This window comes from Homo sapiens, chromosome 5 (genome assembly GCF_000001405.40).
Source record: "Homo sapiens chromosome 5, GRCh38.p14 Primary Assembly".
In the NCBI taxonomy this organism is placed as follows: Eukaryota; Metazoa; Chordata; class Mammalia; order Primates; family Hominidae; genus Homo; species Homo sapiens.
In genome coordinates, this window is record NC_000005.10 from 50,394,208 (window position 1) to 50,420,279 (window position 26,072).

At 35.2% G+C, this 26,072-nt stretch overlaps 1 protein-coding gene across 3 annotated transcripts in view, besides 1 other annotated feature; it reads right to left on the bottom strand.

Annotated features, from left to right (window-relative positions):
• Positions 1–1,984: 1,984 nt before the first annotated feature.
• Positions 1,985–26,072, bottom strand: part of EMB (embigin) — a 47,154-nt gene continuing 23,066 nt past the window's right edge. For all 3 annotated transcript variants that reach the window (XM_011543146.3, XM_047416702.1, NM_198449.3), the window contains 7 exons: positions 16,990–17,176; positions 16,670–16,758; positions 11,518–11,645; positions 8,971–9,247; positions 8,079–8,112; positions 5,652–5,706; positions 1,985–5,083 (listed from right to left, as the gene is read on the bottom strand). In XM_011543146.3, the coding sequence (XP_011541448.1) occupies positions 5,066–5,083; positions 5,652–5,706; positions 8,079–8,112; positions 8,971–9,247; positions 11,518–11,645; positions 16,670–16,758; positions 16,990–17,176 (788 nt within the window). In that variant the 3' untranslated portion in view covers positions 1,985–5,065. The remainder of the gene's footprint in view (positions 5,084–5,651; positions 5,707–8,078; positions 8,113–8,970; positions 9,248–11,517; positions 11,646–16,669; positions 16,759–16,989; positions 17,177–26,072) is intronic.
• Positions 21,968–22,017: an enhancer, noted in NCBI's record as "active region_22542". NCBI's record gives its function as "activates an Ori minimal core promoter by ATAC-STARR-seq in GM12878 lymphoblastoid cells {active_cell/tissue: GM12878}" and the evidence as "EXISTENCE:reporter gene assay evidence [ECO:0000049][PMID:35858748]".

Genomic DNA, 26,072 nt, shown 5'->3' on the forward strand with positions numbered 1-26,072 from the left:
CAACCTATTAGATGCTTTTGGAAATTAATAAAACTTTAAGCTTACTAAACTGTCTCATTATAGGCAGTTTATAGTGAGACTCTCCTGACATTTACTTAAAATGGCTATTTCCCTATGTTTACTACTAAAAATGGCTATTTCCCTGAAAGTTGATTTTTGTTTATCATTTACTTGTTGCAGATGCTACTGCTGTGTCTATGGCAGACTATCCATAATGTACTTAAATTCTCTCTGCAGGCTAAATGTACGACCAGAGACTATTTTCTGCCTGTTGTCCTGGGGAAATCATAAATAGCACCTTCTTTCACTTTCAGTGGTTGGATGATAAATTTTATGGCCACCCTCCCAATTTATAAGTAAAATTACAAAAAAAAAAAAAAAAAAAGAAAGAAAGAAAGAGTGCTAAGGCAAATAAATGTGTCTTGATTCCCCAGCACCACTATAGGGATACAAGAGTGGCAAAGCATGGATTCCATAAAAATTCCATGGAATTTATGATATAACTGACCAGTTGAAAGGAATAAAATTGATATTAAAAAATACAGATTATAGATAATAGCCTCATTTTCTAAGAAGCATGTAACTTGCAGGCCAAAGCTGTTCAACGTGGTGGTTAATCCTAGGTTCTTCAGGAGGACTCCGTGAATGTGAATCTCAGCTCTAAACACTTACAGGCAGGGTGACTTAAGGCAGCTTACCTAATCTCTCTAAGCTGCAGTTTCCTCATCTATTAAAAAAGTAGATATTAACTGTTTTTATAGCATAGGACCATTGTGTGGATTAAATGAACAAAACATGTCAAAGCAATTTGCACAGTGCCCATCATATGCCATGCACTCAATGTCAGTTATTATTATCCTTAGTGAAGCAGAATTCAATTGGTAAACAGGGCATGTAACTGACTTTCTGGATACAGTGCAGATACATTCCTAAGTATCATATGAAAGAAGGGTCTATAGTTCCATTTTCTTTTTCTCAATACTAGAGTAGGATAAATTCATGGTTAATTAATAAAAATCAAAATAGACATTACATAAATCTGTATAACTTAAGATTCTAAAATAATTGAGTCACTCTTCTATTTTTCATTCATTCAATAAGTATTTATTCAGAATATAGTACAAGTAGGTCACTTTGCCTTTAATTAATACTGCAACACATACTTGAACTTATTTCCACCTATAGATGAACAATACTAATGAGGAATAAGTCCCCAATTCTTTGCATAAATTTGTTCGATTAGACAAAATGAAAGAAATGCTTTCAGTGATCAAAACTAAACTATGAAACTGTGAAAATAATTATACCTTTTAAGATTAAATTTTGAATTGGATCTGAGATATTCTGAAGTATACTGGCAGGGGAAAGTGGAATGAGGTTAGTGGAGTGAACACAAACATCAACTCTCTACAGTATGATGTAAAGAAATACAATCACTAAATTTTGGGGGGAACAGATACAGAGTCTTCCTCTGTCTCCCGGGCTGAAGTGCAGTGGCAATCATAGCTCAGTGCAGCATCAAACTCCTGGGCTCAAGTAATCCTCCCGCCTCAGCCACCCAAGTAGCTGGAACTACAGGCAAGTACCATGCCTGGCTAATTTCTTTTTTATTTTTAGTAGAGACAGGGTCTTACTATGTTGCCCAGGCTGTTCTCAAGTTCCTATCCTCATGTGATCCATCCTCCTTGGCCTCCCAAAGTTCTGAGATTATAGATGTGAGCCACCATGCAGCCTAAAATTCTTTACATTTAAAATCAATGCATTATGTTATTAGAATAAAGGATAAAAATAAGGTTTGCATTTGTACTGTCCATGAAACATGAAGAACAAGGGAAATTTAAATAAGTTGAAAGCAACGTAATCTGTGTAATAGTTTAGGAATTAGAACTCATTTTGCTCACAAGACACTAATTCACTATTACAGAAAATATGACTGGACCTTTATACTATTCTATGTGTTTTTCAAAGTAAAAGAAGCAAATACTGAAGTTATAAAAGCTTGTTTTTCTTTATTAGAATACTTTTTTCAATTCTGATTTGTCACAATTTAGATTCTTTTTCTAAGAATAAGCAGAAATTTACAAAATTTAATTTTTATTTATACATTCATCCGTTCAATACACATTTCAAGAAAGCTGTATTGCACCCTTTCAGTGGTAGTTACAGGACAAAGAAACAAAATAATCCAAGAGAGAGACCAACAAATGTATATTTATAACACAGAGTAATAAACACAAATAAATGTGGAGTTATTTAAGCATGTAAGATGGTACATGCTCTACCAGGTATGGGGGCTTCTCTAAGACACAAGATCAGATTAAAGTCTTGAAAGATAATCTGGGGTTAGTCAAGCAGGTAGAAGTGTGAAGAGCACTTTCTGAGCGGAATCTCCATGTGCCAAGTCTAGTTCAAGAGACTGGATAGAGATTAGCAATTTGGAGAATGCAATATTAAGAAATGGCAAAGGTGAGCCTACAGAGATTCCAAAGTTGCATAGTGAGGTTTGTGTTTGAGAAAGTGGACTCAGGCAGCCACGCAAAAGAGGGATTAATAGAAAAGGAGACTGAGGTAGGAAAATCAAGGCATTAGTGTTGCAGCAGGTGTGGGCAGAGTTGGGGAGGCAATGGGATGGATTCATGAGCTATTAAAAAGGTCAAAGGAGCAGGGATTCATGACCCATAAGTATTAATTAATACAGAAGAAGAAAATATCAGAATGAGTTCTAAATTAGGGCCTGAGCAGCTAGATGTTGGGATAATAACAAAAAGACTGCAAAAGGAGAAGATTTACACTTTGGCAAAAAATGTATATGAAAGTATCTGGGAATTTTATGCCATCATTAAATCTACTTATTATGCTGAAAATCCTTGTTAGCTGGAAAGACTAAGAGAATTCCCCAAGGTGCCTAATATATAAACTTGGAGTAGTTTTCCTACTTCAACTTTTATGCGGCTTATTATTTGCAGTCAATTTATATTTGGTCAATATTAGTTAATTCATTTATCATCTCTGTAAGATTGGTTAATGGAAGCAGATTAAAATCCAACAGTGGTAATTTTCTGGAAGTCCTCCAGAGAGACTACAAAAAGCCAAAAGTCAACTTTAATTTTTGAGTACTTTTCCTATTTAAGGTTACTGAGATAAATTGTCTTTGCTAGAAAAAAATAAACAGTATTGCCAATTAAAAACTCCATTTACTATAGAAATATTCCTGATTATTTTACCTTTGGGAAGCAATGCTTGTTGCTTGAAAATTGTATGAGCCTCAATGGTTAGTGGTGGTAAAATGGAAGAATGCATACTGCAGATGGGTTACACATTTGTTTGTGTTCTATATTCCAAGTCACAAATACACTGCTTTGAATTGTATTTAGTCAAACAGCAGATTTGACTAATATTTCCCTGAATTCAAATAGCTTAGATTAATTAAGCTAACTGATTGGTTATCTACCATTATATAGATATTACCCAAGTAATGTTGTCAAAATAATAATTAATTAAACTAAAATAAATGTATGGCCCTGAGACCAGAATAAAATGAAAACCAAGAATAAAATGAAGTTTGCCATTACCGGGATGTATTCAAGTTCAGCAAACTTATATGTGTAGTTAAGATGCTTTACAACAAAATATTGCATTTTGTTATAGCAACAAAGTATTGAGCAGCTTCCAAGTCACTACCTTATGTGTATTATTCATACTAGTAATATTGGTAAACATTAGTGATACAATTTTCACTACCAAAATTTTATTATATTTTTCTTAGCCAATACATGGAGCAAATTTTTATAAAGTATTTCTTGTCAAATCATTGAATTCCTCCTCCCCAACCTTTAAATTCCCTAGTCGCCAAGAATCTTGGGTTCCACACCACCACTCTTTGCTTCTGTTCTTAAAGTTGTTGCCCTTTGAGCAGTGGGACACTTCATGGTCATTTATGTTATCTAGTATCTTGTGGTATGATTTTAGTATTCATTCAAGCATTGACAACTTTTCATGTTGATTCAGATTTTATAAGATTTGATTACAGTGAGTTTATAAAATATTTCAGTTATATATGCAATAGAAACGAAGTATCCTATTTTGGAAGATAAGTCTAAGGCATTCACAGCAATAAAAAAGAAGTGCTTTAGTATTTCTGGACTTCAGTCAAGGGAATTATTATTGTAAAGCACTAATAATGCAGGTTTAGATATTTAACCAGCCATAGATACCAGGAAGCCAGGTGTTAAATCAAAGAACCAGGAAACCATGAGCCACAAAAGCATCAGTGTAGCAGTGTTTTAAGTATTACGACTATATGGACCTGCACCCTAAAACATAAACAATGGTGTACCTTATGAAGTTAAAAACCCTATTTAAGACTAAGAAGCACTTTAGCCTGGTGGGGAAAGCAGTGGTTATGAGTGGAATAAAGACTGGAAAATTTGCTTTTGTAGTGCAGAGCTTTAGAGCAAGCACAGTTTTATTTATTTGCCTTAAACCAATATTTCCGGATAAAAGGTATATTTTTCTTGTGGAGATTGTAGAATAACTATCATTAGCAAAGGCAGAAAGTATTCATTTCAACTTAGTAAAGACATATTTTTTCACTATCACAGAAAGATGACCTTTACATAAAAATTGTTACATATACTTCCATAGATACTAATAGTAAGTATGATTTTTTTTTAAAAAATAACTTTCTAAGACAAATGGCAAAGGCTTTCTTTTTCATGAATTCTTTGGTTATAAACAGGTTTTGAGTGATTTTTGTTCTATGAAGTATTAAGTGATTCTGCTGATATCTGTTCTGTGTGTCCTTTGAAGACCAGAATATAATTAATTTTATTCTGGTCTAACATATTTATTCTGATTTACATTGCTTTTATGTAACATAATTACAGAATGAAAATATACCTTTAGATCTGACATATATCGTTGATGAAGCTCCTGCTGAGCATGTTGCATAAGCTTTTCATCCTTTTAAAACTAAAAACTCAGAGGCTCTTAACAGGAAGGATAAACAAAGCTGAAATACGAACTCTGTATATCTTCCAATGATTCTCGACATGATGTTTTGTATTCACTGGCCCAGAGACTCCTGAGTTAAATAAAGCATAATCAAATATAATTAGTATGTTCTGGTTATTTTATAGTAACTTACTATCACTTTAGCAAAGCAAAAAATACTGGGAAGTGAGGGATCCAATCTACTGCCAAAACAGAGCTCCTACTCTAATGTTGATGAACTAAAAATTTTGAATCTAATCAGCAAAGAAAGTTAGCTTATATGCATAAGTTTATACCCCCAAATATATGGGAATAAATGAAACTAAAATAACAGAAAATCCAGAAAATTTTAGAGGAAAACAAATAAAGCTACATGAAAAATTGTAAAAGAAACTAGTCCGTGGTGATAAAATAAAATATGTAGCCAGTGCAAAAGATTTACTTCTAGATTAGTTGCTATGTGCCCTCTGGTGGAAAATGATTTATTTTTGTATAACTATACTGTATATTTTCCCCTATAATAGTGTTAACAAGCATATTTGAGCACATCATAAATGACCAGATCTTTTATGGAACTAAAAAAAAGTAACTGATTGATAGATAGCCTATGTATATTGAATTTGACCTTTTATTTGGAATATCATTCAGAAGTAACTTACATTTTTTCTATGCCTGGGGACATTATTTTCTATACCATTGCTATCATCTGATTTCCTGCACAGAAAACAAAAAAGAAAATTACTAAATGCTTATATTATATAAAATTAAGTCAGTACATCACTGATATGGCTATCAGGTTAAAATGTAAAATGTCAATACGGACAGAATTCTTTCTTCCTAAAAATGTTTTACTTACAATGTTGAATTTATTTTATGGCATTGCTTGAAGAGGAGCTGTTACCACAAATGATAGTGACAAAGGCTTGTTGATTTTATGCACAGGGAGAATTGCTTCTCCCCAAGCATGAGTGAGGACTTGGGCGTAAAGACCATAACTTATGTGTGGTTTTGGAAACATGCAAGGTAATAGCCAATTAGGAGGTCAGCCAACATGTGTGATATTGGTGCTATACATTTGTATGCTTATTACACTGAAATAGAGGTTAAAAATGGTTCTTTTTCCACCCAAAGTTTATCAGAGCAGGACTACAAATGTGGGCCTCAGATTCTAAAGATTGACGGAAACTAAATAACCAGTATGCATAATGAATACCTTGCCCTTCAAGGTCTTGGGGGCAGGCGTCAATTATCAAATCATAATGCATATTATAAGACAGTGTTACTTACAATTAACTGATAATTAATATTTTCTAAAAAAAAAGAAATCCCACGAGTGCTTGTTTTTCTTTTGTGTGTACTCTTCAAAAGCAGAATAATGGCCACTAAGAAAACACCTCAGCAACTATTGCAAGAAATGGTTTGAGGGACATCAAGAAGCTCATTGTTCTGAATGATTTCAAGTGCCCTTGATATTTGTATACAATCTAAAGATAGTGAAATAACCTGAAGAAAAACTAAACACCTTCAGTGATCCTTATGGTGCTATACAAGATGAGCAAAATGATGTACATTGATCCAATTTTCAGAAAAATAATTCATCTTTTACACTATATATTGAATCCATTTTACATTGTTCAGAAGTGATGGTCCATTCCACACTGTTCTGGTACCATCCTTTCAGAGTGTGTTTTAAATCAGAATGCAACTTCCAAATGTGAGCTCAGAAGAATGGTTAGAGACAGTGGGAGGCAGAGCTCGGAGAATAGAGGAATCCGAGCAAGGTTCTGTTTTCAAATATGTCAATGACTGTCACGTTTGTTATATGATGCTAAGAACAAGAAAAACGCCAATACGTGGAAATAGGAAAGATTAAAAGTTCAAATCAACATAAATAAGATATCTATGTTCTCCAGAAAGAGAAGGGATTCTCTTGGGAGAGATACAATTCCCTTCCAACTATGGGAGTCTATGATTCTAAGACAACATTGCTTTTCTCTATCTGGTGTTATAGGATTTCTGATGTAGTTATTTTGTGCCCTTAACTTGGAAGCTCATATCATATTGGTTTATTTTAGCAGCCTATGTGAATGGAGTCAACATGATTATCTGAATAATGTCTACAAACATCTAAATGACAACTGTCTGCTCCACTCCTGCTATCCATGCCTGTAACACTCACTCCATAGAGCTCCTGTTGGCTGATAAACTCTAAGTGCCATTTTGTGTTAGTTATAGTTGCTCAGGCCTTCCACTTCTCAGGTTTCTTGCAGCAACTTTAATCTAGCCTCGTTTTCCTGGACTCCAGCCCTTGGCTCTATTGTTCAGGCTTTAATCCCAGTCTTGGACACCTCTGTCACTGGCCTCCATACTCAGTTCTCTGGCTTCGAGGAATTCGGAACTCCCATCTTTGCCAAACTAAATTACATCCCTGGTGATTTTATTTCCAGACCTCCTCATGCTTAACTCTAAACAAAGGCTGTGTAAGAGAACCTGTGGCACAATTTGTGTTCTCTGAATAATAATAACTAATAGAATTCTAGGCCAGTGATTTTCAACAGACAGAGGATCAAAACCATTTGTAGATGTTTTCAAGAAATAACAGATGCCATAGCCCCAACCCAAGAGGTTCTGATCCAGGAGATTCAGCAAGGTCTGAGCAACTGTATTTTTTTAAAGAGGCTCTTAAGTGATCAAAAATTGCCAGGCTTGAGAACTATTGCTTTAAAAATAATAATATTAAATACTTCCTGATGGTTACTGCACACCTTCTGTGCACCATAACCTATGCTATGCATTTACACATATATAATATTCATTCCATCCAACAACCTCATATGGTGAGTACTATTATTAAATCCATTTTGTAGAGAAGAAAGCTGAAGTACAGAGAAGTGCAGGTAGTAAGTGATGAAGAAGAATTCTCACGCAGGTAGGCAGACTTGGAAAGCCACTTTCCACCACCACGTGGACATATACAGAAAATACTCCTCTGCCTTTTCTCCCCCTAACTGCAAACATTTCATTCAATTTTATGTTTCCCTGTATTTTACCCAAGTGAAAATTAATCTGTAAAAAATAATACTTACAGCTGTTCAATCTGCTCAAATTCTTTCCCCTCATCTGTGTAACAAAAGAAGAATTTGACTGTGAAGTTGGTTTGTCACTTTTATGGAACATATATGCTCAATTAAACCTCCTTCCTAAGTAAGTAAGTACTATGCTGTTTCTCCTGTTTGGAATGAAGGAGAGACATGCTACCTTAAACACCTACACCTCCTTTATCTGCACTACAGACCTTATCTGCATTTCTGATCAAACATAGTTTAGTGGCCTGGTATTTTCAAAAACATGACTGCTTAGTTTGTCATTATTTAAATCATTAAAAATTTAGTATAAAATCAGGAAAGAATACAGGACGTAAGGTCAATTTTCTAGAGGATTACTGCTTTATCAACCTGTAACCCATCAGGCACAGGCCGCAAAAATAGGACATGACAGGATGGTCTCTCTTTAATGAGAACTCTGGAATGGTTAATAAAATATTTTTTTAAATGATAATCTAAGTGAAAGAAAAATTGTTTCTTTTAGACTTTTTATATTAAGCTATCATAGATTTTTCTAATATTCCAGTGCCAGAATACATATCACCTAATTGGTACTTAGGTACCAGTAGCACCAAAAAAAAAAAAAAAAAAAAAAAGAGGGGGGTGGTGGGGGAAGAGAAAGAAAAAAGGCATTTTTAATACTAAGTTTTTTCAGGAATTGAAACAGGAAGACCATGGGTATATGTTTCCAGCTCACTGTCACCATTGTTGTAAACCTAAATACTGCTCCAAATAAGAAAATGAAGATTTTCCCCAAAAATCCTAAAGTCATTGCAATGTATCAAATCATAATCCATATCATAAGTAAATGATACTTATAATTAACTGATAATACTTTCTAAAAAAAACAAAAAACAAAAAAAAGAAATCCCACCTGAGTGCTTCTTTTTCTTTTGTGTGTACTTTTCACAAAGCAGAATGGTGGCCACTAAAAGAATCACCTCAGCCACTATTACAAGAAATGGTTTGAGGGGCACCAAATAGCTCAGCACCACAAGCTCAATGTGTTCTTCACTCTCGCCTAATTGGAATAGTGCACGGCACCAGTAAGATTCCCCATCTTCCTCCAAAAGTTGTGTTATCTTCAGCTTTGTTTCGTTAGCATATGTTCCATTGATCACATATTTATTCATTTGAACACCAACAGGAACCTAATATGAGGAGACATTAAAATCCATTCCTATCATAGCACATAAAAGATACATGACATAGTTTTTCAGTGAAAGCTATAAGATAATGCCAACAATATTGCTTACTAGAGAAAGGCATATTAAAGTTTGTGAGAGGTTATCTATAACAGACTTAAGTCTTATCAGAGTTTGATCTCCCAGGGAGCAAACAAAGAAAAAATATATACATTGCTATAAGGATTTAGCAGTGAATGTTTAAAACTACAAAGAAGCAAATAGGTCATCATGAATAAATATTATAGAAGAATTAAAAACAGAAAAATCCCAATCATCTGAGTCTCACATTCCTATCCTTGCCTAGTGCTTTAAAGTACTTTTTCCTTCACAAGCACAGGCACATATTCAAACAACTACCACCCCGGAAGCTACTATTTCTGATCATTTCTATAAAGGAAAATCGCTCACTCAGACAATGTGATTTCCCCAGGCTAGAAATGAAGATGAAACTCTCAGGCTTTTGGAGCTGATGTAGATAGAATGGAGGGGACCCTCTGTGAGCCTGGGATCCGAAGTGAACTGCACACCTTCTGTCTTTTCATATCTGAATTTCTTTCTCACTCAGATAAGCTGGCTTCTAAGATTTGCTGGGTTTTCCACAGCCTCACAAGGTGCCATATTAAGCTATTTGGGGCTGTTTTATTTAATCTATTTAAATTAAATTTTATTCCCAAGCCATTTGATGCTTTTCCTGCTCCATCACTCAACCGTGCTATTCAATAAATGCTAATCTGCATACAAATATTCTCAGAGCTTATCCAAGGAATAATTATCTGTGAGTATATTATTCGTGCAAAAAAAATTACAGCAACCTGGCACCATGTGCACAACACTGCCTGGAATGTTTGGTACAGATTGGTCAGAGCTAATCAATCAAAGTACCATATTTTTAATAAGTACCCAGCTGATTCTGATGCACATGGTTGGTCTACATTTTGAAAAGGCACTTGTGCTCAAGTTTTGACCTGCATCCTATTCCCCAAACTTTTCTCACATCCTAATAAGACTCATGCTTAGAGTCAAATTAAGAGGATAATGACTAGTATAGCAATGGACAAAAGCACTGGTACGTCTAAAACGACATTTTCAACATCTGATATAATTAGATGAAGGCTAATGTTTTTCACATATTGTTGTACCACATACACATCAATAAATAAAGCTGTGTATTTCAAATACCATAGTTGACATTTGTTTTTACAAAATTACACTTTTTAAAAAAAAATTACATATACACAATGACTGCCTTTCCTCATCATCCATCAGAAGACATAAAGGAGTAGGAATGGCTTCAGTCTGCATCTATGGGATTTGGTTGGAACTATTTCATTGAAAAACTAAACCTGTTAGCACAGAATAAGTCACACTCCCTTCTGAATCATCTGTCATCCTTCAATAGTCTATAATAACACCAATTTTGCCTAAGAAGGAATTTAATATTTCATTGTAACATCTACACTGTCTCACATGTTCCTTCTACAATTATAGCTTGCCTTTAACGGGACTTTAATTGTAATGCTTCTTAGTGCCAGGGCAAAGGAAGGGTGTCTCTTAAAGGACAATGTCCTAAATTTTCCTGCCATTAGAGGCTATTTGGGGAGAAGAAAGGAAACCAGAAATTATTTATAAAATACTCATGTTTTTCTTAATATCAGCTCTTTGAATAGCGATTTCTCTCAGTAAAAAAGGAATTAAAAGTATTTGGCTTCTCTCAGGTAGCTTGAAAAGGCCAATGACACTTTCTGATAGAACCTAAGATGTAAGATTAAGTTACAAAGTTTTCATTATTTTCTCAAATAGTGCCACTATTTTGCATTCTATCACAGATGTTTCAGGAGACAGAAGCCCAAAAAGATGTCTAGCATTTTTTCTAGTTACTTTCATGGAATGATTTTTAAAAAGAATATTTTCTAATGGGGTTATTTCTAAACTAGGCAACTACACACAAAATGTAATTTCTTTTCAAAGAATGTAATTAAATTGTTAAACCTAAAAAACAAACTACCAGCTAATGAAACGTTAAGAGTATCTTCATATGTATAACGTAAACATGCCAAAAACCATCAAATGACAACTCTGTTTGTCACTGCTCTTTCTTTATGAACATAAGCTAAACAACAAGATAACAAAAGTATAAATCATCTTAGGAATGCTGAGTCTGTTACAATCTTGTTATTTTTTAAATAAATGTTTTCTGTTGTTGTTGTTTTCTTCAAATCAAGGAACTATCTTACCTTTACACTCCCATTACTACTGTACCAGGTCCAATTTAAAGGAAAACAATTTTGACATTTACATGTCAAGACAGTAGAATCCCCTACGTAAGAGATCAATGGCTTGTTTTTCCCATGAAGTTCAGGGACTGAGAATAAAATAGAGAAATGTATGTTACTGAAAGAGTTTAGGTAAAGGAAATGTATTAAATGTGCAAATATTGTCTCCTTTCATTTTTTCATTACATTATTTTAAGTACTTTCAGTTATATATCAATGAAACTAATTTATAGTAGTTAGGGTGTAGTTAGTAGTAATAATAATAGTAGATAGATTCGATATAATTGTCTCCAATGTATAGAAATGGAAGGTCTTCTATTATTGAGCCTAACAACAAAAGTATTGTTCCTTTTTGGATAAGTTAAATGTTTTGGGTAAGAAAGAGGCTTCATGTTTTCAAACCCCTGTTCTTTCTTCCCACCTACTAAGTTACCTTAGAGTAATTATTTTCTTCAAAGTTTTAACCTCAGGTAGCATTTGAGTGAGCAGATAAAATTTCCAGGATAGGAAATCTTTAGTTGATACTAATTTATGAAAAGCCAGCAAAGAGTTAGAGAAGGTGGGAACAAGGAACAAAGGAAAATTAACAGAAAGAGAACAGCGTAAGAAAGAAAATAAGATTTAAAAATTCTTTCATGTGGTTTTGTAAAATATATATATATATACACTAATATCCATTATGATAAATTTCCTAGTCAAGGAAGTTTGAAGTAGATTCCATTAGAAACAGAATACAAATGAGCACTGAATTTAGAAAAAAAATAAGTTTTAAGGATGTAATAACTTGGTAAAGAATATTAAAAGATAAGAGCATAAACAGTACAATAAAAAGCCTACATGGTGCAATCAGTTCCTTCTGATTGACCTTTAAAGATGTATTATAGAAGGTACACTTACACTGAAGATGTAGACTCATCAACTAAGATTATTTTGTTAATTTTTTTCTTTTACTTTTTTCAATTTTAGCAGGTTTTTTGCTTCTTTTGGTTTTGTGTGTGTGTGCGCACATGCGTGTGTTTGTCTGTTTACTTTTTTCATTTATATGTTTAGTTTGCCAGTAGGGAAAGAATGGATGAAATCATGTCAACTAAAGACCTGCAGATAAGCAGAGATTGGAGCTTGGCTAAAATAGGGATTCTTTGCTGAAGCCACAAGTTTCCCTACAACCTGAGAGGAAGAGCAGCCACACTTCCTGAGTTCCATCTGAAGAGGCACAAGATGCACTAGTGCATTACTAGGGCAATGACCTCAACAGCCCTGTTAGGCTCACCTTAAAACAAACACTGTTTTGGAGTGCAGGCTTTGCATTAGACACTCAGTAATTAAGGACACAGTTTCCGCTTTCCCAGGTTGTTTATCTCTCAGATATCCTATTTCTCAATCTCTACATGTTTCTTTCTGGCAATTGAGTCATGCTTTAGCATGAAAATATGTGTTGAAATAGGTTCAAAATACCAAAATTTACCCACAGGCTAAGAATAAAATGTGGAAGAAAGGTAATTCTTGGGGAAAAACCTGGCAGAATATACACTGCTTTTCAGTATTCCTTGAAGAGCTACCTGCTTGGGAAGCATAATGGAAGCTGCGAGGCGCTTTTCAAGAAAGTTGAGTATTCTGAGATTTGATGAGGAACACATGACTATGTTATTAAACCATCCCAACTAAATATTAAGATCAGGCTGTAAATTGCAGGTAGCTGACAATGACTGAGTGACAACATGGAAAAGCTGAAACCAAAATTCTGTTTTCTTGCCATCTCTTCAGTTTTCTTGATTATCCCCTAGACTAATGACTAAAATACCATAAACCATGCTTTTGTTCTGCTATATATGGCTAATAACAGCAGTGTGGATTTAAATTATAAAATGCACTATGTTCAGGGAACATGACATTTGTTTGAACTATTCTGGGGTTCAGGGCCACAGCTTATATTTGGAAATATTTACTAATATAAGGACAGTGAGACAGTATTCTAATGTGCCCTGTCGACCTTTTAAGACTTTGCATAAAGTAGGATGCATACGAGTGCTACGGTTGGAATAAACCAGGTTTGAAGGTGGTGAAATTGCTGATTCAGGCTAGTTTCTAGGAAGATGGGGTTTGGATATACCCAGTGAAAGTAACAGCTCTCTGGAGTTGTAAAATTGGAGACTATATTTGTATATTCATGAACTAGAACAAATTGGCCTAAATGTCATATTGGTTCAAAGACTTTTAGGTACCACTAAATTAGGAAAAAAGATTACTCCATGTAGTAAAAGAATGCTAACTATACTTCAACACTGGGATCCAGGGCTGAAGTCCTAGCTGATTCTATTATGCTACCTTTCCATACTTTATATTTTTAGATACTTCCAGGGGAAGACAGATAGTTGAGCTTTGACAGGCTTCACTACATTTGGTACTATCAAAATCTCATCATGACTTCCAAAAAGTTCTTGTTCTTTACCAATTAAATTTCTGCATACTTTCTACTAAGAGATTTTAACACTGATAAATATTATGGAAGCTTTCAGCAACCACTCAGAATATTTGATCCACTACTGAGAAACACTATAGACCATCACTCATCTTTCTCTTTCTCGGGTGGCAAGTAATCAGCAACTTATTAGCAGTCACAAACTTCCAGTGTACACTTTTGCTGTCTCCTCTGTCCTGGCATCAAGAGCGAAACACATAAAGTCAGCAGGTTTTTGTGCATTGAACTAATCAGTAATCTTGAGGGCCTTTTACAACTTTGTAGTAGTAAATCAACCAGCACCCATAAAGACAGCAGCAGGGACTTTGCTGATGAATTGTTCTGAAGACTCAGGCTCATGCACTATAGGTGGCTCATGTAGTCAATGGCAGAAAAATTTATCTTTGGTTCAATTTAAAATAGAGAATAAAACAGTCTTTTCATCTACATGCAGTTGTAAGTCTTCTAAGAAAAGATAATTATTCTTCTTAGGAAAAACCATTAAGTAAACCATATGGAGAAATAATATAATAGGACATTTATAAAAATACACACCATTTTATAAGCCTTTCAGACCTATTAAATAACTATAATATCCATAATGTACAGATGTCTTTAAATACTACTCAAGTAAAAATTATTTCTGTAAGCAATATTCAATTTAGATGAATTATAGGGAATTTTTATTTTACCAAGGAAGATTTAAAAGGACCCAACTTATTAATTTTATAAATATCTTCAAGATATAATACATACTTAAAAGTTACATTAATGTTAAAGGGGCATTAAAAACAAATTAGCTAACCTAAACTGCTTCAAGACAACTAGAAAAGAAAAAAAAGTAAATGTTCAGTGATTCTTTGCTTTCCTTAAAGCCTTGATTTAAATCCTAGGCCTTGGGTCAGCGCTGCTGACACCAGCCAAAATCAGCTTAGTTATCTCAAAACAGTTGGAGAATCAAGAGGCCTTCCGTGTGAATACTTGCAATTCAATGTATTGGTATGTTGAAAAGTAAAATGCTTGTTAATCTTCACATTAGACACAAGAATGGTCACTTCCACATAATAATTTAAGTAATTATCAAAACTAATGAGAAAAATGTGTTATCTTCAATATTGAAAGCAGGTATGACTAGTATATATTTCCAGAGCACAATGTCTTAGAAAAAAAAAGAAAAAAGTGTTTAAAGTTGAATATCTTGGGAGCACTTTAAGTCACAAGATTCTGTGAGCATTTCCTCAGAATCTGTAGGCCTTCTTTACATATTTTTTAAAAACTCAATAAAACATGTTCACTGAAATTTTGTGTGTTTAGTATTATTTTTTGCTCATTGGGAAGAAAAAGAGAAAGGGAGGAAAAAAGGAAGGAAGGAGGCAGGAAGGGAAGGAAGGAAATGAACTCAAAAGGTGGGAGGGAAGAAAGGACAGAAAAAGGGAAAGGAAAAGAGAGATTAAGGAAAGAGGAGGGGAAGGGCAGATGGGGCAGGGGAGGGAAAAATGAAATGCATAAGGAAAAGGAAACTGAAAGGAAATGTATATGGTGTTATCTAGTCCTTCACCAAGTTAAAGGCAAATGGAGGGAAAAAAGTTAAGAAAGAATATACATGACTAAAATAATCAAAGAATGATACTAGTTTCTGCTTTTGGAGAGACCAAGATATATAAATACAAGAATTTATTATATTCACCACATTGGAACAATTACAAAGACATAAAAATAAAATGACTCTGTGAGTGCAGAAGGGATGCAATGAGGGACACAGGAGTGAACCATTAGATCATGGCAATGGTGAAGCAAGCCATTCTGCTATTGATGGAGCCTTGAGAATAGCATCCACATTCTGTCACAGCAGACAGTCGGGCTTTAGGAGTTTTAGGAAAAGTTACAACAATTTTCATGTTTCCTGGGGAATTAATGCAAAGCAGAGTCCGACGTAGTTAATATGGCGACAGATTGCATTTCCCAAATACCAGCACGATAATATGGTTCACTAATCACCACAAAATACTGGGTTTTTCATAATGATAATTATCTAACTCAAATAACTAGTCTTTATTATGAGATTGAGACCTTCTTGAGTTTTGGTTTAATGATGGTAACAGTAAAATATTTTAATTCGTTTGTTTCCAAGCAAAAGAAATGTGGATGATATTCTGTGGCTTGTATATATCTTTAAACCTCCTTACTTGGTGAGATAAAAAGTAGGCAACCGTTTGTGCATCTCCATATTATTTTTAAGTTTTATGGATCCTAAAATCCCATGTCCTGGAGCTATGGATATAGAACATCAACCCACACTCTCAGAGGCTGGGACCACAATAACTTAGAAACGTGGAGGACTATTATAAGAGCTATGAATTTAGAGAGATAAATAAAGAAATTCAGGCAACTGATATAATTCACTAATAATGTGGTAGGCTGGCCTTTTGAACTAAAACATGTGCTTTAAATTGAGGAATAGAAGCAGGAAGGAAGTGGACTTGGGGGATACAAGACCATTTTCAAGGCTGCCTCTTGTGGCTCTGGAAAGCATATGACTTTCTTTCAGCTACATTATGTTTATTATTGTAAAAATAATTTTAAAATTACAGGATTGAGAAATCTAAGAACATAATGCTGAAGTTATTAACTATTCCTCAAGTTATTAATACTGACCTTTGAAATTAAATGTTCCCCTTTGTTCCTTTTCCTCTCGAAAGAAACAAGAATAACTTCCCATTTGTTTGCTATTAATGATGGTGAACCTAAAGATAATTCAAGTTATTAATATAGGCTTAGTTCTCAAAACCTTAATGAAAATGAAAAGACTTAGCCATTAATAAAAATTTAAAAAGAGAAATAATTCTGTAAATATGCAAATTAGAATATTAGCATAACATTCAAGTGGCTGCAGAGGAAAGAATGCTCAGTCAGCAAAAATATTTAGAATTAAGCTACTTTTGGTGAGCAAGGTAGGTTAAAATTTGTATACTCACCTGTATTGGGTATACAAGGTGCTTCCTGTTGCACTGACAAGATAATTATTCTCAAGTTGTTCACCATCTTTTTTCCAAGTCACATTTACTGCATTCAAATCCCCAGATGTTGTGAACTGGCATGTGAGATTTACATTAGAAGGCCTTTCTAAAGTGATATTTTTTTCTACTGGCATACTAGAATGTTCTATTAGCACAAAAGAGGACAAAATGTGAAAGTTATATTCAGAGGAATCTAACACATAAAACCTTTTATATTATTAACAGCAGTGTTTCATTGACAATTTCTTAATGTAACATTCATTTGAAGAATTATTCCTCTATCAACATAGTTGGTTCCCTTTCTTATTCCCTTTTATATGCACACCTAAAGAAAAGTTTTGATTCAACATTAACACAATTAAAAAAAACCTAAAGCTGTGATAGTTATCTCCTTAAGCTCTATACTGAGCAGAATATAGGGTAGAGAGTACCCTATAACATGTGCCGTATGCTCTGACAGTGTAAAAACAGCACAACTGTAAATACAAACACACACTCATGGGTGAGAATGGAATGCCTGTTTCAATAATTTTGAGTAATCATGTTGTTAGTAGTTATTAAGTTTTATGGATCTAATAACTACTAGAGAATGTTTTGTGTGTAACATGGATTTGAGTGATATATTATATTCTAACCATTCCTAGTCTTCTTCAGAACCTGTAAGGACTGGATATAGACATAGGTACAAGACAGAGAATTTAAATAAGCATCCAGTAGTTCTGAATTTTGACTGAATTTCAATATCAGTATGAATTCATGAGGTGTTTATCCTTCTTTTTGACTTTCAAAATAGATATTTATTTTGGATTGATTGATTATCATAAGAACACTTAACATTAGACCTTCCCTCTTAGCAAATTTTTTAAACTTGTACCTAAAAAGTAGTCTGAAAGGTTCTCAATTACTCTTCCCATCTACAGGTGGGAAGAGAAGGAGCTAACCCTTAGAGAAGCTTTAGGGAAGTTGAGGTGTTTATCTTGAAAACAATACACACACACACACCACACACACACACACAGACACACACACACACACACACACACACTGAAGGGGTCCAGAATATGCCTGGATAGCATACAAATTATTTTGAGCAGAAGGCATTTGAGTTCCTAAAATAGCTACTCTGACTAAAAGCAGAGCCTTTCAAAGGAACTCCAAAAAACCTCCATTGTCATAAATCCCCTCCCTAGGAGCAATAGGGAGAATGGAGTCATCACTGAACATGAGAAATCTTCACACCACACCTAAACAGACACTGTCACAAAACTATATCTTCCACCTGTTACCTAAAGGGCTCATTTATCTTTCCTAAAACTCATTTCGTTTTTCCATAAGCTGCCTTTCTCTCCTCCTCTCCTTACCCTACTAAGATGGTGTATAAGCCCCCACTTTTAACTGGCCCTTTGAGCTACATGTTTTGGTAACTTTTGTCCATATGTTATTAAATACGCTTTTTGTTTTGCTAATCTATCTTTTGTCAGTTTAATTCGCGGAGCCTGAAATTGTAGAGAATTGCAGAGAAAAAGTTCCTCCCTGACAGTTTGGCAAGGAATATGGAATGGTTAGGACTCCCCACCCTTCCACTCCAACCCCATTTCTAAAGCCTGAGATTTCAGGACCTCTGACCCAGCAGGTAAGTACAAGCTTTTTTTTTTTTTACACCAGTATCCCAGAAATCTGGGATTTCTGGGATACTGGTGTAAAAAAAAAAAGGGTGCACTAGAGCAAGAGCAGTAAGAGCCTCTACTTGTCTTTTCTTTCTTCAGTTTAACCCTCAAGTTCCCAACCACTAACTATCCAACAATACACACATACATACACACGCGCCCACGCGCACACACACACACTTAGGGAAAACACAAAAAAACTAACTTTAATTTTGAACAGTGGCAAATAAAGAAAAAATATTAAGCATGTACCTTGTTTGTCCTACACTAACTGTATCACTGGCTAACCAAACAGTAGAGAAAATAAACGTTCTCTTTATAGAAAAATTCCAGCAAATGAATAAAAAAGAAATCATACAAATATACCATAATGATGCTGCAACCCCTAGTGAATCATGGATCTAGGCATTTTGCATCAACTGCTGCAATAATTTCAAAAACAGAATTATGTCTCTCTTGAGGAAGAATACCCCACTACCTAGGATATAGTCTTGTTAAAAAAAGGTGCTGGAGGAGGTTCTTGAAACTGGTTAAGTCTCTGGATCCAATTCCCAGTTTACAGGAAACATGGATTATAGAAGAACACATTAACCTACATTTCATGAAAGTAATCAACAAAATCCAGATTCTGGGAAAATTCTACAAATAAATGATCTGGTTTTTTCTTTTTCTTTCTTTCTTTTTTTTTTTTTTGAGATGGAGCCTCGTTGCCCAGGCTGGAGTACAATGGTGTCGTCTCAGCTCACTGCAACCTCCGCCTCCCGGATTCAAGCGATTCTCCTGCCTCAGCCTCCCAAGTAGCTGGGATTACAGGCGCCTGCCACCATGCCTGGCTAATTTTTTTGTATTTTTAGCAGAGATGGGGTTTCACCATGTTGGCCAGGCTAGTCTCAAACTCCTGACCTCAGGCGATCTGCCTGCCTTGGACTCCCAAAGTGATGAGCCACCGCACCTGGCCTGGTTTTTTCAATAGACAAATTTTAAAAGGGAGAGAGATGTCTTTGTATCGGACGTCAGGTGCTATGTTTGGGGCACCTGAAGATTATAAGATACTCAAAAAATACTATTAAAAGAAAAGCAAAACTGAACTGTAATATTTAGGGATGCATACCTGGGTAATAAAGCAATACAGAAAAGCAAGAAAGTGACTGCATAAAAATCAGAATAGTGGTAATTACTCTTAAGGGGAAGAGAAGGAGTTGTGTTTGGAAGACGGTAGTATATCATATAAACAAATTTCTCAAGCTCTTCTCATTCTCAATAATGGTATAGTATGATGAAATGTAGAATGCAGAGCCAAAATGTAGAAAGAAAAATAATACAACTCAAATAAAATGGTCAGGTGCAATGGTTCATGCCTGTGATCCCAGTAATTTGGGAGACTGAGGTGTGTGGGATTGCTTGAGCACAGGCATTCCAGACCAGCCTGGCCAACATGGTGAGACCTCATCTCCACAAAAAAAAAGAAAAAATTAGCCAGGCTTGGTAGTGCATGCCTGTGGTCCCATCTAGTCTCAGGTAGAGGTGGGAAGATCTCTTGAGCCCGAGAGTTGAGGCTGCAGTGAGCTAAGGTGGCACTACTGCACGCCAGGCAAGGTGATAAAGCAGGGCCCTGTCTCAGGCAAAAAAAAAAAAAAAAAAAAAAAAAAAATTCTATCACTTTTAATTACATTTGAAACTTTACGAAATGCTTCCATAAGCAAGGACCAGATGCAAGGTTTGCAGATAGTGAAGTACAGCTCGTGCAAAGTGCTTTGTGAGCACATGCTTGAAATAACTGCTTGTAAAATTGCAAAATTGCTGAATTGAATTTAATGCTCAAAAAGAAAAATAATATTTGATGTCTCTAGAATACATATATTGCCAGAGACTACCTTATTCCTTGCAGTTCCCTTTACTGTGCTCTATTTCACTATCCTAGTATATTTTAAACATTTTGCTAGCCACACCAAATTATTCCAACTACCTTTTAAATGTTGGTGCCCATCAGGATTTTGCTCTCTGGTCTCTTTACTTCTCAATTTGGCACTTCTTTGTTGGATTCAACTATTAACTCTAATGCTCTTTACTTGCAAAATTAGAACCTCCACTGAAGTCGTTTTTTTATTTTACAGCTCCAGGTGTCTACGGAGCATCTAAATCTGGATATCCCATGAGAACTTCAAACTCAAAATATCCAAGAGATCCATTAATATTCCCTTGTGCTGACCTATAACACTGAATCACATGCAGTAGTATTTAGTTGATTCTACCGCTAAAATGTCAAACAAATTTGCCCAGTTTTATCCAACCCTCCTATTATTGGCCTTCATTATCTTTCACCAAGACCAGGTAAATTATCTAATTTCTCTTGGCCAGCTTCTCTTGCTCCAACCAAAGGACAACTTTGGTTGGAGCAATTTAAGCAAAACTCAAATTGTTTAACTGCCTTGATTCTATACCTTGCATGTGCAAATCAAAGTATCTTTGTATTAGACATCAGTTTCCTTATTTGTAAGGTGGGACAATAATATTCCATGAGATTGTAAAAAGTTCTATCATAAGAAACGTCAACAGTAATATAATATAGCAATTAATAAATGCCCACTTACTTCTTCTCACCATTATCTCACTGGGGAATATTATAAAAACTATCATATATGGTGCTAAGGGTTATATGTTGATTAAATAATTTAATCTTCACAACAGCTTTATGAGGTAAGTATCACTGCTACAATTCCAACTTTAGAGATGAGGCAAAGAGAGGCTATTTTGTCTAAGATTACACATCAAGACAAAGGCAACACTGAATCTCAGATTTAGGTATGCCTGAGTCCAGACTGTGATAACCAACAGAATATACCAACTCTCAAACATATTAAATTCTCATTACAATGGAATTAACTTCATCACCTTCAAACTGTTGAAACAAGATTTTAAATAAAAGAAAATATTAATAGAAGATTAAAGAAATGTACAGTGTAGCTATATACCAATATGAATGCGATGATAAAATGAACAGTGCAATCAAAATATTTTAAAAATACACATTTTCAACTAAACATAGTTTTACATAACTTAAAGTGCAACACAGTTTTTCTTAATGGTAGGCCATCCTCCAAGCCCTAATCGTTGTCTCACTGTTTCCTATAATACTTTGCAGGTGCTTCTGCAGTTTGCTGTGCTTCTGCAGTTTGCTTTCCTTCCTGTCAAGAAATCACAGCATCAAAAACATGCAAAAAGCTCTACCTTTTTACATATTTTGTGGTTAGCCAACAAACTAATGTGAGCTCAGTCAACGATGTTTCAACTTCCTTAATACTGCACAACTGCAATGCATTTTTGCTGCTTTAGAGTGCTGCAAAAACATCTATGACATCTGCATTTCTAAAACGATAACAATTTGTTGTTTTTGAAACGTATTTTCAAGACTGTTCTTAAAACCATATAGTAATTTATACCTGTCTAAATAATTTCTTATTTTCATAGGTAACATTTTTAAAGTATATGGGCCTTTCAACAATTTGCAGTCTTCAGAGAAATGACATTTAGATTTTCTTGGGTCTATTCAGGACCCAATCTTGTAAACCATTTCACTAGAAATAAAAGTCTGCTTTGTTCTTTATTAAGAAAAAGAAAATATGGAAGAAGCCAATTAAAATTTATTGCATAGGATAGTGTTTCCAAACATGCTTTAAAGATAGAAACCCTTACTAAACACAGTTAAGTGAACTGTGACATATACGACGGATTCGATGGGACAACTCTGACAGAAGCCAAGATAGAAAATACAGAGCCCTATCAGCCTGACTTTTCATTATTCATAATGAGGTAGGAGGTGGAATGTGACTCTGGACCAGATTGAAGACTGACAGAAACAAGGAAGAGGCAACGAAAGATCCTCTCCGTAAGACACACCCACCAGCACCATGACAGTTTACCATTGCCATGGCTACACCCAGAAGTTACCATCCCTTTCCATGGCAATGACCCAGAAGTTACCTTCTGTTTTCTAGAAATTTCTGAATACCTTGTCCCTTAATTTGCACATAATTAAAAGTAGTATAAACATGGCTGCAGAACTGGCCCTGAGCTGCTACTCTTGACACACTGCCCAGGGGTACCCCTGCTCTGAAGGAGAAGTCACAGAGCTGTAACAACCCTGCCTCAATAAAGCTGATTTTTCTACCACCAGCTCACTCTTGAATTCTTTCCTGAGCCAACCTTCTCGGGCTAAACCCCAATGTTCGGATTCACCTGCCCTGTAATAATTTCACCATAAAAGTCAATAAAGCTTCATGATGCAACCCAAAATGTCTATTAAACATCCAGAATCCTTACAGAAACAGAAGGCCACACTAACATGAGGCCAACACCCCTATATAAAAATGATACAATGGATCTTATTTTTATCATTAATGTTGTGCGTCTTAAACATATGGAGTTAACTTATGAATAAGAATAAAATTCTCAAAGTTTATATCCAAAATTTATAAAACATAATACTAATCCCTTGATTCTTGTAATTTCACTTCTCTCCCAAATAAGTCTCATATGGATTGAAGAATCATGATGGTTTATTAAGTGATCCTATCAACAAGTTATTTACATGCCATCTGATTAGTGCCACACCAATGTGATACAGCCTAAAACACACGTGCTTCCTGAATCCCATAAACTTAAAATGTGAAATCACCAATGTGCACAGAGAAACCTGAAATTATATAAACCCAACTTGAGTAAAATGTAGTACATATACCTTGATATACTTTTTTATATGTATATAAAATCTCCAAGTAATCCCTGGAGACTCCCTCAAGACCTATGAACTATGTGGCTGGTGTTATATGAGCTGAGCCTATTTTCAAACTTTTAGAATTTTTTTTACACAGACATCCTCAAAAGAAAGAGAAATACCAGAAAACATGAATGGCTTCTACACAAATGAAGCCAGGTTTTCCAAAATAATTCATCAAAGATTTGGCAATATTTTGGAAAATATGTTAAAATTATTTAAGAGGAGATGCTAGTTGAATTTCACTAAACAAAGCTCCTATCAGTCACTGTTTTCCTCCACTTCATTTAGTAACAGAAATTAAGGCATGTAATGGTTATTTCTCTACTTTCTAAACTGATTTAACATCATTTCAAAGAAAAACAAAAACAATTCTGTTTGAATTCCAGAATTGCATGTCTCTTGTTTCAACAATGCAGTATTTAATTTGAGACAATAACATTGGGTAATAATCCAATAATTAAATATATTTTTCTACAACATAGAGAACACTGCAACTATTGTTTACATCAATTACAGGAAAACTATAGTAAATGGTTACACTGTTTTAGTAACCAAATACATTTGTTGCCACTGTTTCCAAATAATTAACATGAAGTTAATCCAACACTATAGTGGGGACCACTGATCATATTTTTGGACAACCAGAATCCGAACACCCTTCCCATCCGTGTAAGGTTTGGTGATAGGCAAAGTACTCACTCACTGCGGAAACCTAAGAACAGATATTTCTTCTCTCTGCCCAGCTGAGCACTAGGGTTTGGCCACTTTAATTATAACCTTCTACTCATGGCTGTAAAGTTAGAGGGAGGGAGTTAGGGACCTAGGCAGAACTGAAAATTAATCACAATAGCAATGGCAAGTGTCTAGCAGTGATTGTGCCTCATTATTCTTTCACTCACTCATTTAACACTTATTTACCGAACACCTACCATGTGCTTTTCATTTATCCACTCGTTCAACAATTTTACTAAAAATATATCACGTGCCTTTATTCTAGGCCCTAGTATCAAGAGTCCAGTGCCTGCAGAAATATCTTAAGCAGACTCTTCCAGTAATCCTTGCTGTCTGTCAGCCTGAGGTCCTTGGCATTGCCAGAACTTGATTTCCAGTTTTCTCATCAATTCTGCTAGCCAAAATCCTTTATTCAACAAATTATTTCCTGCTTAACTGGCTATAGACTGTTTCTGGGCTTGAGATCATTAACCTAATCCATATACACCTATCAAGATTTACACTAGATACTTCATCTATGCACTCCTTCCATTTTATTAAAATTACATAGCACTGATGTCACTTGGCAGCTCACAAATATCTAGAACATATGATAATACTTGGTCCCCAGAATGAATTCTGCAAAGTGGTAATCATAGTACCAGTTCAGCACATTTGAAAGACAATACCTGAGGTTACACAGGGGACAAGATCCAGGCTGAGGTAGCAGTCCAGGACTCAGATCAGCCAGTCCCTGGCCCTGTATGCTCCCCTCCATGGCCAGTCCTGCCCTTTTGTTCTTGTAGCTATAAATCACACTTTAGTATTTTTTCCATCTCTTCTACATTTACAAATCAAAATCATCTCAAGCCATAACAACTTGCCTCCAATCTTTATATCTAATTTCTGCCTTCTCTACCTTGATAAAAAGCTTTCATTTATTTTGAACCATTTTGCACATATCCACTTCAATATAATGGAAGAAAGGAACAGCAAATGACAATGTCATATCATTTGATTCCCCAGTACAAGAACCATTTAAATTTTGAAATGGATTATTCTAATGGATTTCAAAATTATTTTAGTAGCAGAATTGTTTCAGAAATAAATCACAGGAAAACTTAAACAGAACCCCCACTACATACACACACACATACACACACACACACACACACACAGATAACTGTATAAAACTGATAAAAAGTGTTGCTACAATTAGTGAAGACTGGAGAGGGTGTGGAAAGCATTCAAGATTGGCCTCTTCATCCCTTCATCTCCTTTCCCCATCATGGTTGCATCACATGGAACAAAGGACTTAAAAGTGACACATGCACACGTATGTTCATTGCAGCACTATTCACGACAGCAAAGACATAGAATTAACCCAAATGCCCATCAATGATAGACTGGATAAAGAAAATGTGGTGCATATACACGATGGAATACTATGCAGCCACAAAAAGGAACAAGATCATGTCCTTTGCAGGGACATGGACGAAGCTGGAAGTCATTATCCTCAGCAAACTAACACAGGAACAGAAAACCAAATACCGCATGTTCTCACTTATAAGTGGGAGCTGAACAATAAGAACACATGGACACAGGGAGGGGAACAACACACATAGGGGCTTGTCGATGGAGGGCAGGGGTGCAGAGCATTAGGGAAAAGAGCTAATGCATGCTGGGCTTACTGTCTAGGTGATGGATTGATAGGTGCAGCAAACCACCATGGCACACGTTTACCTATGTAACAAACCTGTACATCCGGCACATGTACCCCAGAATTTAAAAAATAAAATACAATAAAAGTAACTGGATTCCATCAAAGGAGAGGTAAACACAAGTCTCAGCACACACCAGATCAAGATAAGGGCTCATAAATACCT